This window comes from Homo sapiens, chromosome 9 (assembly GCF_000001405.40).
Source record: "Homo sapiens chromosome 9, GRCh38.p14 Primary Assembly".
NCBI classification, from domain to species: Eukaryota; Metazoa; Chordata; class Mammalia; order Primates; family Hominidae; genus Homo; species Homo sapiens.
The window spans coordinates 86,303,051-86,316,812 of NC_000009.12; the positions used below are offsets into that span (position 1 = coordinate 86,303,051).

A 13,762-nucleotide genomic window follows, 5' to 3' on the forward strand; every position below is an offset into this window, starting at 1 on the left:
AAAAACACAACCAACCCCTTTGAACATTTACTTACTTTCTCCTCATAGGACAGTCCTTCATGAAGTGTCCGATTTTTCCACAAATTCGACAACATCTATCATTTGGGGCCAGCTCTCCTTCAGTTAACACATCTGGATCAAAAAAGTATTCCTAGAAGAACATAAATATATAAAAGCCTGAACTATTCACGTGAGATCGGAACACAAAACTAACCAGATATTAAACAGTTATCTTACAATTCAATGTTGATATAACATTACTTTTAATAAATATTATTTATACTGCTTAATTCCAAACAAAATCTAAGACCATCAAGGTCTAACTCAGGATAGTTTTAACTAAATCCATTTTTGTTTATTCCTTTTAGTCATGCAGAGCACTCGTGAGCCCTAACCCTAAAGGTTTAAGCACACTTCTAAAGAAGCGGATGAGTCAGCTTTTCAGGATGTGGGAGGGAGTTGAGGCCAGGTACACAGGCTTTGTCTCCTCATCAAATGAAAAGGCTAAAACATAATGAATTGAGAAACATGATTTGCATCATACAGATTATATTGAAGAAAAGAAAAAAAACTATGTGTTTCTACTTTGCTTAGTTGTGGCTGCTGAAGGAAAAATAACAGAACAAAGGAAAGATAATGGTCTAGCCTGTAGCCTCTTTGTACTAAAATTAAGGTGGAGGCCAGCAACATGAGCATCCCCAGGGAGCTTGCTGGAAAAGCAGTCTTGAGCCTGATCCTAGACCTGCTGAATCAGAATCTGCACTTTAACAAAATCCTCAGGTGATTTGTTCGAACAAGTTTCAGAAGCACTGGTGTAGAAGCCACATCAATATCTACCATAAATCAGATGTACAGATGTAATCAAACACTGAATGTGCCTATAAAGCAATACACTTACGTTAAATTTTAAAAGTCTTCACTGGGAGTACAGAGGGAATAGGGGGTTGCTGGTCAAAGGGTACAAAGTTTCAGATAGACAGGAGGAATAAGTTTTGAGATCTATTGCGCAGCAGGGTGACTATAGTCAATAATAGTGTATATTTCAAGATAACTAAGAGTAAATCTCAAATGTCTCCCCACAAAAAATGGTGAGGTGATATATATATGTTAATTAACTTGATTTCATCATTCCATATACATGTATCAAATCATCACGTTGTGCTCCATAAACTGTATGTCAATTAAAAATAAGAATAAAAAGTATAAGGAAATTAATGCAGAAGAACATAATATTATTCTTAGCAAGATCATCTAGTCCCTAGCCATTTTTCTCTCACTGAAATTATTTTTTTGACATAATTTTGCTTTGTTTTCAATAAATGTGGTTCCTGAAAAACTCGAGTATCAAGTTACATGAGAAGAGATAGCTGTCTGCTACAGGAAGCACTGTTAACCCCCTAGTCCCAGCAAAAGATTTACTACTTTTTGCAAGCAGATTGGAAAATCTAGATTCTAGATATGTACAAACTGGGCTTGGCCAAGGCTGGCATCAAGCCGAATGCTGGCAGAACAGCAATGCACCTATGAAGGCTAGCACAGATAACCAGAAAAAAAAAAGGCATCAAAGAGGAAAACAAGAATTTAACAACCTTAAATCCAACTTCTTACTATTTCTCTCTATTCTGATGGCCTCTACCCGGGGATGTTTAAGAAAAAGGGGGGCTCTGGGAATCATTCTGTACAATAGTCATTTACTTTGGCTAGACTCACAGACTTTCTAAATATTTAAGTTACTACTGAAGTGATGTGTACAAATTAGGCACTTTTTTTTATTTTTTATTTTTTGGTATTTCCAACACACTTACCATTTTTGAGGGGTAGTCCTTTGGAAATCCCTTGACAGGAATACCAAATACTCTTCTACCATTGATAAAAGCCTTCATTATAAAATTTGTCACTAAAAAGAAGAGTAAGAACTCACTTAGGCGGGTTAAAAGGAAAAGAGATTGTATTACAAATGACAAACTACCTGGGCCTGGTGGCGCCTGTTATTCTAGCACTCTGGGAGGCTGGGGTAGGTGGATCACTTGAGCCCAGGAGTTTGAGACCAGCCTGGGCAATAAAAGCAAGACCCTGTCTCTATTATAAAAGTAAATACATAAGTAAAATAAAAAATAAAATTGACAAACGAAGTAACTCACTTTTCCTTGATAATCCAGCTCCAAGATTATGATTCAAATCAAAGGGATCTAAGCAAAAAAATTTAAGAGCAAATAAGGTAATCAAATAGAAAATGCCACCATTCATCCAATAAGTAAAGTTCATAAAACAAGACAAGAATATCATCTACTTTGCTTATCATTAATAAGTTTTAAATTCACATGATAGAAAAGAAGTGCAAAAAAAAGTTTAAAATGACACCTGTTAAATGAGCTTAGAAGTTATAATAAAGCTAAGCAATACATATTCCTAAACAGAAGGCAAGTTTTTCCACTACACTGTTCATCAGAATAGAGTGTACTACTTTATATTTAAATCATTATAAAGCTCTTTATGTTATGACTGGCTGCCTATTTTTGAACAAAATACTGTTTGCAGAAGACACATTAGCCTGATATTACTTAATGACACTAGTTTTGGATGTATATAGAAGTTATAAATACATTTAAAACATTTTGGCACTAAATGTTCCCACTATGTAACAAATTTCTTAAAGATCACTTCAGAAAATAATTCATGATGGAGATTACAAAACACACTTATAAAACACACAGATATATACATCTGTCCCAATGGCATGCCATTGGCTACCTGGATCTTGGGATACAATTTCTAGTAAAAGCTTAATATAGACTCTCATTTGATCTTACATGTCTGCATCTGAAACATCTTAGATAGCTGTATATAGGATATGTTTTGGAATACTGTTTGTTAAATAACCCAGAAAATGGTAGGAATGATGAAAACAATGCTAATGTCAAAGATTTATGTGAGGTGTGAATAAACTGTCTCATGAAATAAATGGGGTTAAAAGCACTATTTCTAAATCCAAATACTGTTTTATAAGTGATCTAAAATAACATACACCCATGATTCATAATTTAGACATTATGTGTAGATATCTAACTTCTATTTTTCACATCCCTAAAACAATATTCAAGAAGGCAAAGAGAAAAAAGCGATGACCTTTTTTCGGGAATCCTCTTATTGAGAAAATGAAGGACTGCATGGATATAGCATACACAAGAGAAGTAAAGAAGTAAAAAGTGGCATCTTCCACTTGCCAGGTATGCTTCTAGTGAACGGTAACTGAGGTGTACCATATTGAGATTGAGACTATCAGTTTATCGAAGTATAGGACCCTTCCTTCAGCTCAACCCTGCAGTAATTATTGCTATGAGAAGGTTACCTTCATCAGTTTGGTCATTCTTTCTTCAAGTGATTTTTATATGTGTATGTGTATTTTTGGTTATTTGCTTGGTGTAGTGGAGATACTACAATATTAGCTACTGTGCAGTTAAAGAAACTACTACTGGCTGGGTGCTGTGGCTCACGCCTGTAATCCCAGCACTTTGGGAGGCTGAGGTGGGCTAATCACCTGAGGTCAGAAGTTCAAGATCAGCCTGGCCAACATGGTGAAACACTCTCTCTACTAAAAATACAAAAATTAGCCAGGCTTGGTGGTGTGTGCCTGTAGTCCCAGCTACTCTGGAGGCTGACAACGGGTGAACCCAGGAAGCGGAGGGTGCAGTGACCTGAAATCGCACCATTACACTCCAGCCTGGGCGAGACAGTGAGACTCTGTCCCCCGCAAAAACAAAAACAAACGACTACTATCACCACTGAAATGCCTCAATTCTAAAATAGCTGGTTATATGATTATGAATGAAGCCTTCTTTTTAGTTTAGCCTATTACTAACTGCTTGTCTGAAAGTAATGTAAGAATTAGAAGCAAAAGATAATAAACCTTCAAAACTTAAAAAAGAATACATTAATAGGCCGGGCACAGTGGCTCACGCCTGTAATCCCAGCACTTTGGGAGGCTGAAGTGGGCCGGATCACCTGAGCTGAGGAGTTCGAAACTAGCCTTGCCAACATGGTGAAACCCCGTCTCTACTAAAAATACAAAAAAATTAGCCAGGCGTGGTGGCACGGCACCTGTAATCCCAGCTACTCAGGAGGCTGAGGTACAAGAATCACTTGAACCCGGGAGGTGGAGGTTGCAGTGAGCCAAGATTGCGCCATTGCATTCCAGCCTGGAAGACAAAGTGAGACTGTCTCAAGAAAAAAAAAAAAGGAATACCTTAATAAGTGACAGATGATAAGAACTGCAGTGATAACGAAAAGGCGTAGTAAGTCAAAAATTCTATGTGTTTGACACATGAGATCTTTAAAAAGTCAAAACTATATCTGTAACCCATGGTGATCTGAAATTCATTTTACAAAAGTTCATTGTATTTTAATACTGCCAATAGGCAGAAATAATAATAAAACCACAACTTAGAATAGTACGTATTATTTATGTGATACAAACATATTAAAAGATAAACATTTAAAAATCTTATTAAAATTAAAAAAATATTTCTTAGGTCATTTCTCAGCTAAAGCATTTAAATTCCATTTTGTCTTAAAATAAGAATCCCACAAATTGGAAATAAACAATCAACTATTAGCATCAATGGCTCCAATAGATCACTACATTCAATAGAAAAAGATAAGGTGGCCAGGCGCAGTGGCTCACATCTGTAATCCCAGCACTTTGGGAGGCCGAGGTGGGTGATCACCTGCGGTCAGGAGTTCAAGACCAGCCTGGCCAACATGGTGAAACCCCATCTCTACTAAAAGTACAAAAATTTAGCCAGTTGTGGTGGTGGGTCCCTGTAATCCCAGCTACTCAGGTGGCTGAGGCAGGAGAATTGCTTGAACCCAGGAGGCGGAGGTTGCAGTGAGCCGAGATAGCGCTACTGCACTCCAGCCTGGGCAACAAGAGCGAAACTCCATCTCAAAAACTAAAAAATAGAAAAAGAAAAGGCTTCCATATGGTCAAAATAAATGTCAAAATTTATATACAATTACTTATAGGTGAACTCCATCAATAGCGAATGAAGATCTTGAAAATTCACTTAGCGGCACTCTTCAAACCCCCCAACAGGAAGGTTGTAGAAGTCCCACTTTCTTGAAGCTGCCTTATCACTACTGCTGCCTTATCCTTCAGTATGTGTCCAACAATAGCAAAAAATTTGTCATGGTGAAATGGCTTCAGTCATTTAAAAAACAAATCTTAAGGCTGGAAAGAGAAAAGTTGGCCTGGTATGGACAATGAGACTGGGGCACTGCACACCCCAAGCAGCTGGAAGAGCTCTGCAAGGAGGAAGAACAATGTCCTTATAGTTCAAGCTCTATAGTCTATTCGACTTCAAGTTTAATTTTATTCGTACCTTCAATAACAATGTATTTTGAGGTCCACTGTTTCTTAAAAGTTGTAAGCAGACTTTTTCTCCTGATGCTAATAACATGTTCTTTAAAATCAAATTCCTCTGTGTAGAAACGAAGAAGGCCCAACCATAACTGCCCAACAGATTCTGTATTTTTTCCACATTCTGACCAATAGGTAGGCTAGAAATAGAAGGGAACAAGGGATACCATGGTCTTTAGTGAAGTGTTAATATCAATATTCATTTGTATTTTAGGGAGTAAATTTGGATTTATTTCTAATTAACTAGAGCTCAATTATGCAACTTTTCTTTCATATTTAAAAACATAATTTACATAAGTTTATTAATCTCTACTCTGTGACTTGGAGTAGGAAGAGCTCAGAGTTTTCAGTGTCAAGTCTCAGAACATATTAGTCAGAAGATCCAGAAATAGATTCTAAGAGCCTTGGTAATACGTAGGTTATTAGATCTCTTTAGCTCATTGAAAGTCTTTCTAAACTCTGGGTACAAAAACCACAGAACAAATATTCATTCACTTGGAATAAAGTTACTTAACCATTTGGAATTATTAGGCATTAAAGAAATACTGGATATAGGCCCTAGAAATTCACTTGGCTTAGTAAAAATATTTTCACATCAAAGAAAGCATCTGAAAACACTATTTTTTTTACTATCATAAGATATATAAATACAACAAGCAATAAAATAGTTGTTGAACATCTACACTGTAGTATAGCTAATTTTTAGTCAAGGATATAGGAAAATCTTTACTCTTAAAATACGTACCAGTTCATCTATTTGATCAAAAAAATAAATATTCCAGCCATCAACAAATATTTCAGGTTTCTTTTCACCTTTGTATATCTGAAATTAATTTTTAAACTATTAGTATGGATTACAAACTTAATGCATTGATACAAAAACTTCTAGGAAAATAGGTAAAAAATTAACTACAGAACCACAGAATTTTAGAGGAGGAGAAAGGCTCAGAGATCACCAGTTTTCCAGATAAGAAATACAATTTCATTCACTAATACCTCTTGAAGGACAGGAATGACTGGTGGATTCCTCTGCTGGAGAAAATATAGCACCATAAGAGTATATGCATACGATGATAAGCTGCCTCTAGATGCATCACCAATATCACACATCTAGACAGAAGGAAAACCAAGAACAAAGGAAAGGTCTGTTTTCTGCTAACTTTGCATCCATTCTGTTATCACTAAAAGTAAAGTGCATATTTTGAGAACTAATATAAAAATCACATTGTCAAAGGCAAAACCAATCCAACCTAGCAAAGCAGTGGACAGCTGGCTACGTGCAAGATCAGGTCATTGTATAAAATTCAGAACAAAATTTTAGCTTTCTTCATAGGGTCTCCCAAATAGCTACATGAAGCATTTCACATGACTACAGTTCATTAAAAAATAGATTTATGTTTTCAACAGTGTTTAAAGATGCAATGAAATTTCCTGATAAGTCACAATAGGAAGCATACTCACCTTTGTAAATACTTTCATGGTATAGCACAAATACTTCACTCTGGGATCAATGGCGGAATAAGCAGATAAAAGCCTTGTGTTATGAAGGGCCTGTTAAAAGGAAAATAACACTATAAGACTAACAATGAAGTGTAAAGGGTCTCTTTTTTTTTTTTGGTTGTTGTTTTAAATAATGGAGATGGGATCTCACTATGTTGCCCAGGCTGGTCATGAACTCCTGGGCTCAAGTGATCCTCCCCCATCAGCCTCCCAAAGTGCTGGGATTACAAGCATGAGCCACCATGCGAGCCTAGATGAAAAGATTTTAAACTGGAATATTTTAAATAGGTTTACAGTCTGATTCATTTTAGGAAGAAGACATTTCAACTGAAATTAACCTTTTTTTTTTCCCTAAAGACAATCTTCATTAACTTACTAGATAATAATAAAGAATTATAAGTAACATCTGACCTCATGGCTTTTATACGTCCTTGGTCTGAACATCTAGAAAATAAGGGCTGGTGAAATAAACAATCAGTTCCCTTTCAGTAGATATAAGATCTCTCTGCACAAACACCCCTAAAGGGTCAGAGAGGTCCTATAAATCCCTGAAACATATCTGAATTATCTTAGAATCCTCAGCCTCAGAACACTGCCAGGTTCACAGCAAGTAAGCATAATAACTCTTGAAAGATTCACTAAGATGAAATGAATGTGACTTCTTTAACTTGAGGTTTTTGCAAGGTGAGACATTTGTTCCCTTAACCTCTCTAAACAAAAAGCCTGAAAAAAATCTTACCAATGTGTTATACAAACTGATATCTACTTCCAGACCACTTCTCAAATGGAAGAACTTCACAATTGGCACCTTTGCTGTTGTAATAGGTAAGATGTTTCTCAGACCTAAGTTGGGAAATAAAATGTTATCATTAAATACAGCAGCTGGGGATATAAGTAACTCTTATGTTAATGTTCCAATATAAAATGGTGTAAACCTAACTTTGGCCTGTTTCATTGCATTCATTAGGACTTGTCAAAGAATTCTGTTATTAACAAACATCTGGGAAGATTAGTCTGGCAAAGTTTACATTTATTAAACATATTGATATTAGAACTACAAGAATCAAACAGTCACTCCCCTCTGGGAACTTACTGGATCGTATGTGCACACGTGTGCATGTGTGTATATGCATGTGTATGTCGTTGTCACTAAGACAAATACCAAACAGAGGAAACTACTATAGAGTCTGAACTATGTGGTTCCCACCTGTTCTCTCCATGTGACTATATCTAATTTGGAGAACAGCCTAAGGGACGATTATCCTCCAAACAAGTTACTCACCTTAAAGCTAGAAGTTATGAAGTTAATAGGAATTAACTTCAATAGGAGAGAGGAAATTGCCTGAGCTAAGCTTTGAAAAAGAGGGAGAAAAACCAGCAAAAATAGTGGCAGTTGAGCAAATTTACCAGGCAAGGCAAACTGTACACAAAAAGTGTAGATGCCTGAAATAGAATGGTACGTTCAGGGAAGTTCCAGAGAATTGCATAGGTTGCCGAATGAACTTGAGGGAATGGAATATGAGGCATAGGAGATGGTGGAGAAACTGGGAAAGGTCCAACTACAGAACATACACATTTTGCTAAGAATTATCCTTAGTCCTCTCCCTCTCCCTCTCCCCTCTTCCCTCTCCCCTCTCCCCACGGTCTCCCTCTCCCTCTCTTTCCACGGTCTCCCTCTGATGCCGGTCTCCCTCTGATGCCGAGCCGAAGCTGGACTGTACCGCTGCCATCTCGGCTCACTGCAACCTCCCTGCCTGATTCTCCTGCCTCAGCCTGCCGAGTGCCTGCGATTGCAGGTGCGCGCCGCCACGCCTGACTGGTTTTCGTATTTTTTTGGTGGAGACGGGGTTTCGCTGTGTTGGCCGGGCTGGTCTCCAGCTCCTAACCACGAGTGATCCGCCAGCCTTGGCCTCCGGAGGTGCCGGGATTGCAGACGGAGTCTCGTTCACTCAGTGCTCAATGGTGCCCAGGCTGGAGTGCAGTGGCGTGATCTCGGCCCGCTACAACCTCCACCTCCCAGCCGCCTGCCTTGGCCTCCCAAAGTGCTGAGATTGCAGCCTCTGCCCGGCCGCCACCCCGTCTGGGAAGTGAGGAGCATCTGTGCCTGGCCGCCCATCGTCTGGGATGTGAGGAGCCCCTCTGCCTGGCTGCCCAGTCTGGAAAGTGAGGAGCGTCTCTGCCCGGCCACCATCCCATCTAGGAAGTGAGGAGCGCCTCTTCCCGGCCGCCATCCCATCTAGGAAGTGAGGAGCGTCTCTGCCCGGCCACCCATCGTCTGAGATGTGGGGAGCGCCTCTGCTCTGCCGCCCCGTCCGGGATGTGAGGAGCGTCTCTGCCCGGCCGCCCCATCTGAGAAGTGAGGAGACCCTCTGCCTGGCAACCGCCCAGTCTGAGAAGTGAGGAGCCCCTCAGCCCAGCAGCCGCCCCGTCTGAGAAGTGAGGAGCCCCTCCGCCCGGCAGCCACCCCGTCTGGGAAGTGAGGAGCGTCTCCACCCGGCAGCCACCCCATCCGGGAGGGAGGTGGGGGGGTCAGTCCCCCGCCCGGCCAGCTGCCCCGTCTGGGAGGTGAGGGGCGCCTCTGCCCGGCCGCCCCTACTGGGAAGTGAGGAGCCCCTCTGCCCGGCCACCATCCCATCTGGGAGGTGTACCCAACAGCTCATTGAGAACAGGCCATGATGACAATGGCGGTTTTGTGGAATAGAAAGCGGGGAAAGGTGGGGAAAAGATTGAGAAATCGGATGGTTGCCGTGTCTGTGTAGAAAGAGGTAGACATGGGAGACTTTTCATTTTGTTCTGTACTAAGAAAAATTCTTCTGCCTTGGGATCCTGTTGATCTGTGACCTTACCCCCAACCCTGTGCTCTCTGAAACCTGCTGTATCCACTCAGGGTTGAATGGATTAAGGGCGGTGCAAGATGTGCTTTGTTAAACAGATGCTTGAAGGCAGCATGCTCGTTAAGAGTCATCACCACTCCCTAATCTCAAGTACCCAGGGACACAAACACTGCAGAAGGCCGCAGGGTCCTCTGCCTAGGAAAACCAGAGACCTTTGTTCACTTGTTTATCTGCTGACCAGATAAACAAGTTTATTATGCTGCTCCACTATTGTCCTGTGACCCTGCCAAATCCCCCTCTGCGAGAAACACCCAAGAATGATCAATAATAAATAAATAAATAAATAAATAAATAAATAAATAAATAAAAAGAATTATCCTTAGAATCAAAGAGGAGCCAATGAACTGGTCTAAGTTGGGAGGAATCACTGACCACATCTAGTTAGACAATAACCCTGGCAGTGGACAGACTGGAGGCACCAGGAACAGAGGCAGGGTGACCACTTATGAAAAACAACTGGGTGTGAACTTTCATGGTGGCATGGGAATACACAGAAGAAGCAAGGCATGTTTGAGAGCATCTGTAACTGGATGGGAAGCTAGGGGTAGTAAGAGAGGATCAGGGCTTTCAGAGTAAGAGTTACCACTTCCTGAGCACCTAATGTGTGATAGGGATATGTGAAGAGTCCTTTACAAACATTACCTCCTTAGGTTTATCACCCTCATCTTACAGATGAGGAAACAGAGACCCAGAAAGATTCACTAGCTTAGGAATATGCAGCTGGTAAATTGTGGAGCCGGAATTCAAATCTAGGTAAGATTGACTCCCAACTTATACTGAACCTAGTGTGGGTCAGGCTAATTATCATTTCACCCGTTTTATTGATTCCAAGGATGCCAATATCAACAACCATGAAAAAGGATTCACAAGGAAGGGCAGATTAATGGAGTTGGTTCCTGCAGAAGGGAAGCGGTAAAGTGAAAGATAAGCTCATTCTGAGATGTCAGAGTTTGAGTTTCTTCTGAGAGAGCTAAGTGGTGGTTCCTAAAAAGCAGATACATAGTGATCACATCATAGAACACAGGAGAAAATAAGTAGGTAGAAGACATTTCAGGAAAAAATCTGTGTGGCAGACAGAGGAAATGAAACTTAATCTGATGGGGAAAGGGGGCAAGGAAGCTCACTTTACTGAATACTTAGAATATGCTAGGCTTTGCACTTTACGTATTATCTTTCTTAAATGCCATAGAATTGTTATTTCCACTTTAGAGATGAGGAACTGAGTGCTTGTTATGAAGCTGAGTGACTTTTTGGGATTGCACAGCCAGCAAGGGGGAGACAGAATTTAAAATCAGAGTCTGATTCCAGAACCTCCACCTAGTACTTTGCTATCTCGCCTCTAAATTAGACAGAGGCCCTTTTCTTCACATCCTTCCCATTCTGGAATTTGACACTGTTGATCATTACCACACTTCAAAGTCTCGGATTTATTCACAGCATATCTTCCCAGTTCCTTTTCAGTCTCTTTTCTTAATTTCTGTCTAGTCTCTTTCTCTCAATCTCTCTCTTTTTCTTCAAGGCTTTCAATGCAAAAAAACTGTTTTATTTTCATCTTCAATTCTGACTGGCAACCCCATATTTCTAATTGTTTTCTGGAATGTTAAGTCTTGGAGATTATATGCTCATGGCAAACTAAACACTTTCACACAGGTGTTCTCTGCAAACATTCCTGGTTCTCAAATAACCCAGATAGTGACCTCAATCCTTACTTCCTACTTGCAGGTACCAAATCTAGGAAATTTTCCCACTTGGAATCTCTCATATCTTTTTCCTGTTAGCACCAGTGGCACCCTGGCTGAGGTCCTGCTGCCCTGTTGTCTACATTATACCTTCCCTAAAATACCACACCAGCTGCCTAAAAACCTTATGTTATGCTTTTATTGGGTCCTTTCCCTCCTGAAGAAACTTCAGTGCTTCCAAATATCTATAGACTTCATCTTATCTCCTAGTATTTCCCATTTGAAAATCTCCAAATGTACCAATCTTCTCACTGCTCTCCAAAATATCCCACAGTCTCACATTCACATCTATGCACTTAGAAATGATTTCTTTTCCCATCCTTTTCAAATCGTGTTCACCATCATCTGAGATCATAGCAACCTCCATCTCTTCCATCAACCTCCCCTGTGCAACTCTTTCCCACATTCTCTCTTCTTAGAAGTTATTTAATTGAATATTACCTTACATTGTTACATAGTTTGGAAGATTACCTTACCTCTTAAGATATGGAAGCTTTCACAAAAAAAACATACAGATTTTTTTACTTTTCCACCATCCCTAAGTGCCCAACACAGTGCTGTGCACATAGGAGGCACCCAATAAAATACCTGGGGAGACTGTTTTAAAGATATGAAGTTTTAAACACAGCCCTCTAGCTGTTACGAAATTCTTGTTCCAGGCAATCTGCATTCCATTATTATTATAAATCATCTGTGTGCCTAAGTCATTTCTAATCTAAAAATGATCTGTTTTTAACATCGTTCCTTCTTAGGAAATATATACTGAGGTATTTAGGGGAAAGGACATAATGTCTATAGCTTAATCTCAAATGGTACAGGAAGAAATTGAGAGCAAGCAAAAGATGGAATGATGAATCAAATATGGAAAATGTTAATTGGTGGATCTGAATAAAAGTTATATGTGGAACTCTTTATGCAACTTTTGCTGCTTTCCTTTAAATGTGAAATTAAATTATTTCAAAACACAAAGTTAAAATCTAGCTCAGTACTAAAAAATTAATAGTCACGCTAACTTAGTACTTCAGTTTCTTTGCACGACCTTCAAAACAAAACAAAACAAAACAAAACACATGATCTTTAGAGGTGGAATTCCCAAGTTAAGGGAAATGTTTACTTCAATGACCAAAGAAAAGTATATCAATGCACTTTTTTTCTTTTTTTTTTATATTGTTCTGCCCTCTGTGAACAAATCAATGTACATTTAAAAAAACAAAGCCTAACCCAATTTCTGTATACTTTAGGTTAATTTTTATTGGGAATAAACCAAAATTAAGATTTTTTTTCCTCCTGTTATTTAAACAACATGGTATGTACTTTATTAACTCCTGGGGAAAAAATTTCAAAGAAAAGTGGCACCCAAGGTGTATATATGTGTGTGTCTAGGTGTGTGTGCACGTTCATGCTGTGACTTAAAGTCTGTTCCTAACCGAAATGTACAAAAACTTTTCATGGACAGACCATGGATTTTAAGTTCCTGAGGATAGGGGCCATATATTGTTCACTTTCATTTTCAGCTCTTAGCACAGAAGTTTGCTGAACTACATTTTAAAAGAAGATTTTTCACTGTTAATGGTATCCATAGCTGCCATGACAACAAAAGGATACGTTAACAGCATTTCAATTCTGTGCATGGTTTACAAAATCTATACATTTTATAGCTGTAAATACTCTAGAATAATTATCCAGTCCAGTTGCCTCAATTTATCAATGAAAAAAAGAGATCAGGCCAAGCGTAGTGGCTCACACCTGTAATCCCAGTGCTTTGGGAGGCCAAGGCACTTGAGCCCAGGAGTTCAGAGACTAGCCTGGACAACCTAGCAAGATCCCATTTCTTAAAAAAAGAGATCGCTTCAAGTGAAGGACTTGTTCAGGGTCATATACAGCTTGTTGAGCAGAACAGCTGCAAATTCAACCCACAAGCCCAGTCCGGGGTGCTTTCCTTGACACTTCACACAATTAGCAACTCCTACACTTTGACTTATACAACGCCAACAAAGGAAAAGGATTTATAGCCTTTCTTGCCTGTCTGGCGTAGGCTTTGTCTTGAAATAAAACTGAGCTAGGCAACAATATGCATATAAATTATCACCAATTCCTCAGTCTTTCATACTTACGCATACAAGATTTTAAAAAGACATTAATATTGCAATTATTCTATGAATGAGCCACTATACTGCTTCATGGCATTAATAAACTCTAAATACAATTGGCCT

The 13,762-nt window shown here is 39.4% G+C and overlaps 1 protein-coding gene across 19 annotated transcripts in view, besides 1 other annotated feature; it reads right to left on the bottom strand.

Annotated features, from left to right (window-relative positions):
• The window catches only part of TUT7 (terminal uridylyl transferase 7), a 66,678-nt gene that overhangs the window by 15,318 nt on the left and 37,598 nt on the right, over positions 1 to 13,762 (bottom strand). For 18 of the 19 annotated variants that reach the window (NM_001185059.2, NM_001185074.2, NM_024617.4 and 15 more), the window contains 8 exons: positions 7,656 to 7,759; positions 6,878 to 6,967; positions 6,413 to 6,526; positions 6,162 to 6,239; positions 5,379 to 5,556; positions 2,142 to 2,189; positions 1,806 to 1,897; positions 36 to 151 (listed from right to left, as the gene is read on the bottom strand). In NM_001185059.2, coding sequence (NP_001171988.1) covers positions 36 to 151; positions 1,806 to 1,897; positions 2,142 to 2,189; positions 5,379 to 5,556; positions 6,162 to 6,239; positions 6,413 to 6,526; positions 6,878 to 6,967; positions 7,656 to 7,759 — 820 coding nt within the window. Of the gene's footprint in view, positions 1 to 35; positions 152 to 1,805; positions 1,898 to 2,141; positions 2,190 to 5,378; positions 5,557 to 6,161; positions 6,240 to 6,412; positions 6,527 to 6,877; positions 6,968 to 7,655; positions 7,760 to 13,762 lie in introns of those variants that run through there. The other variant, XM_047423870.1, reaches the window with a different exon arrangement.
• Positions 9,290 to 10,127: an enhancer, noted in NCBI's record as "NANOG-H3K27ac-H3K4me1 hESC enhancer chr9:88927255-88928092 (GRCh37/hg19 assembly coordinates)". NCBI's record gives its function as "activates a minimal SCP1, AML or CMV promoter by ChIP-STARR-seq in naive H9 embryonic stem cells {active_cell/tissue: H9 hESC(naive)}" and the evidence as "EXISTENCE:reporter gene assay evidence [ECO:0000049][PMID:30033119]".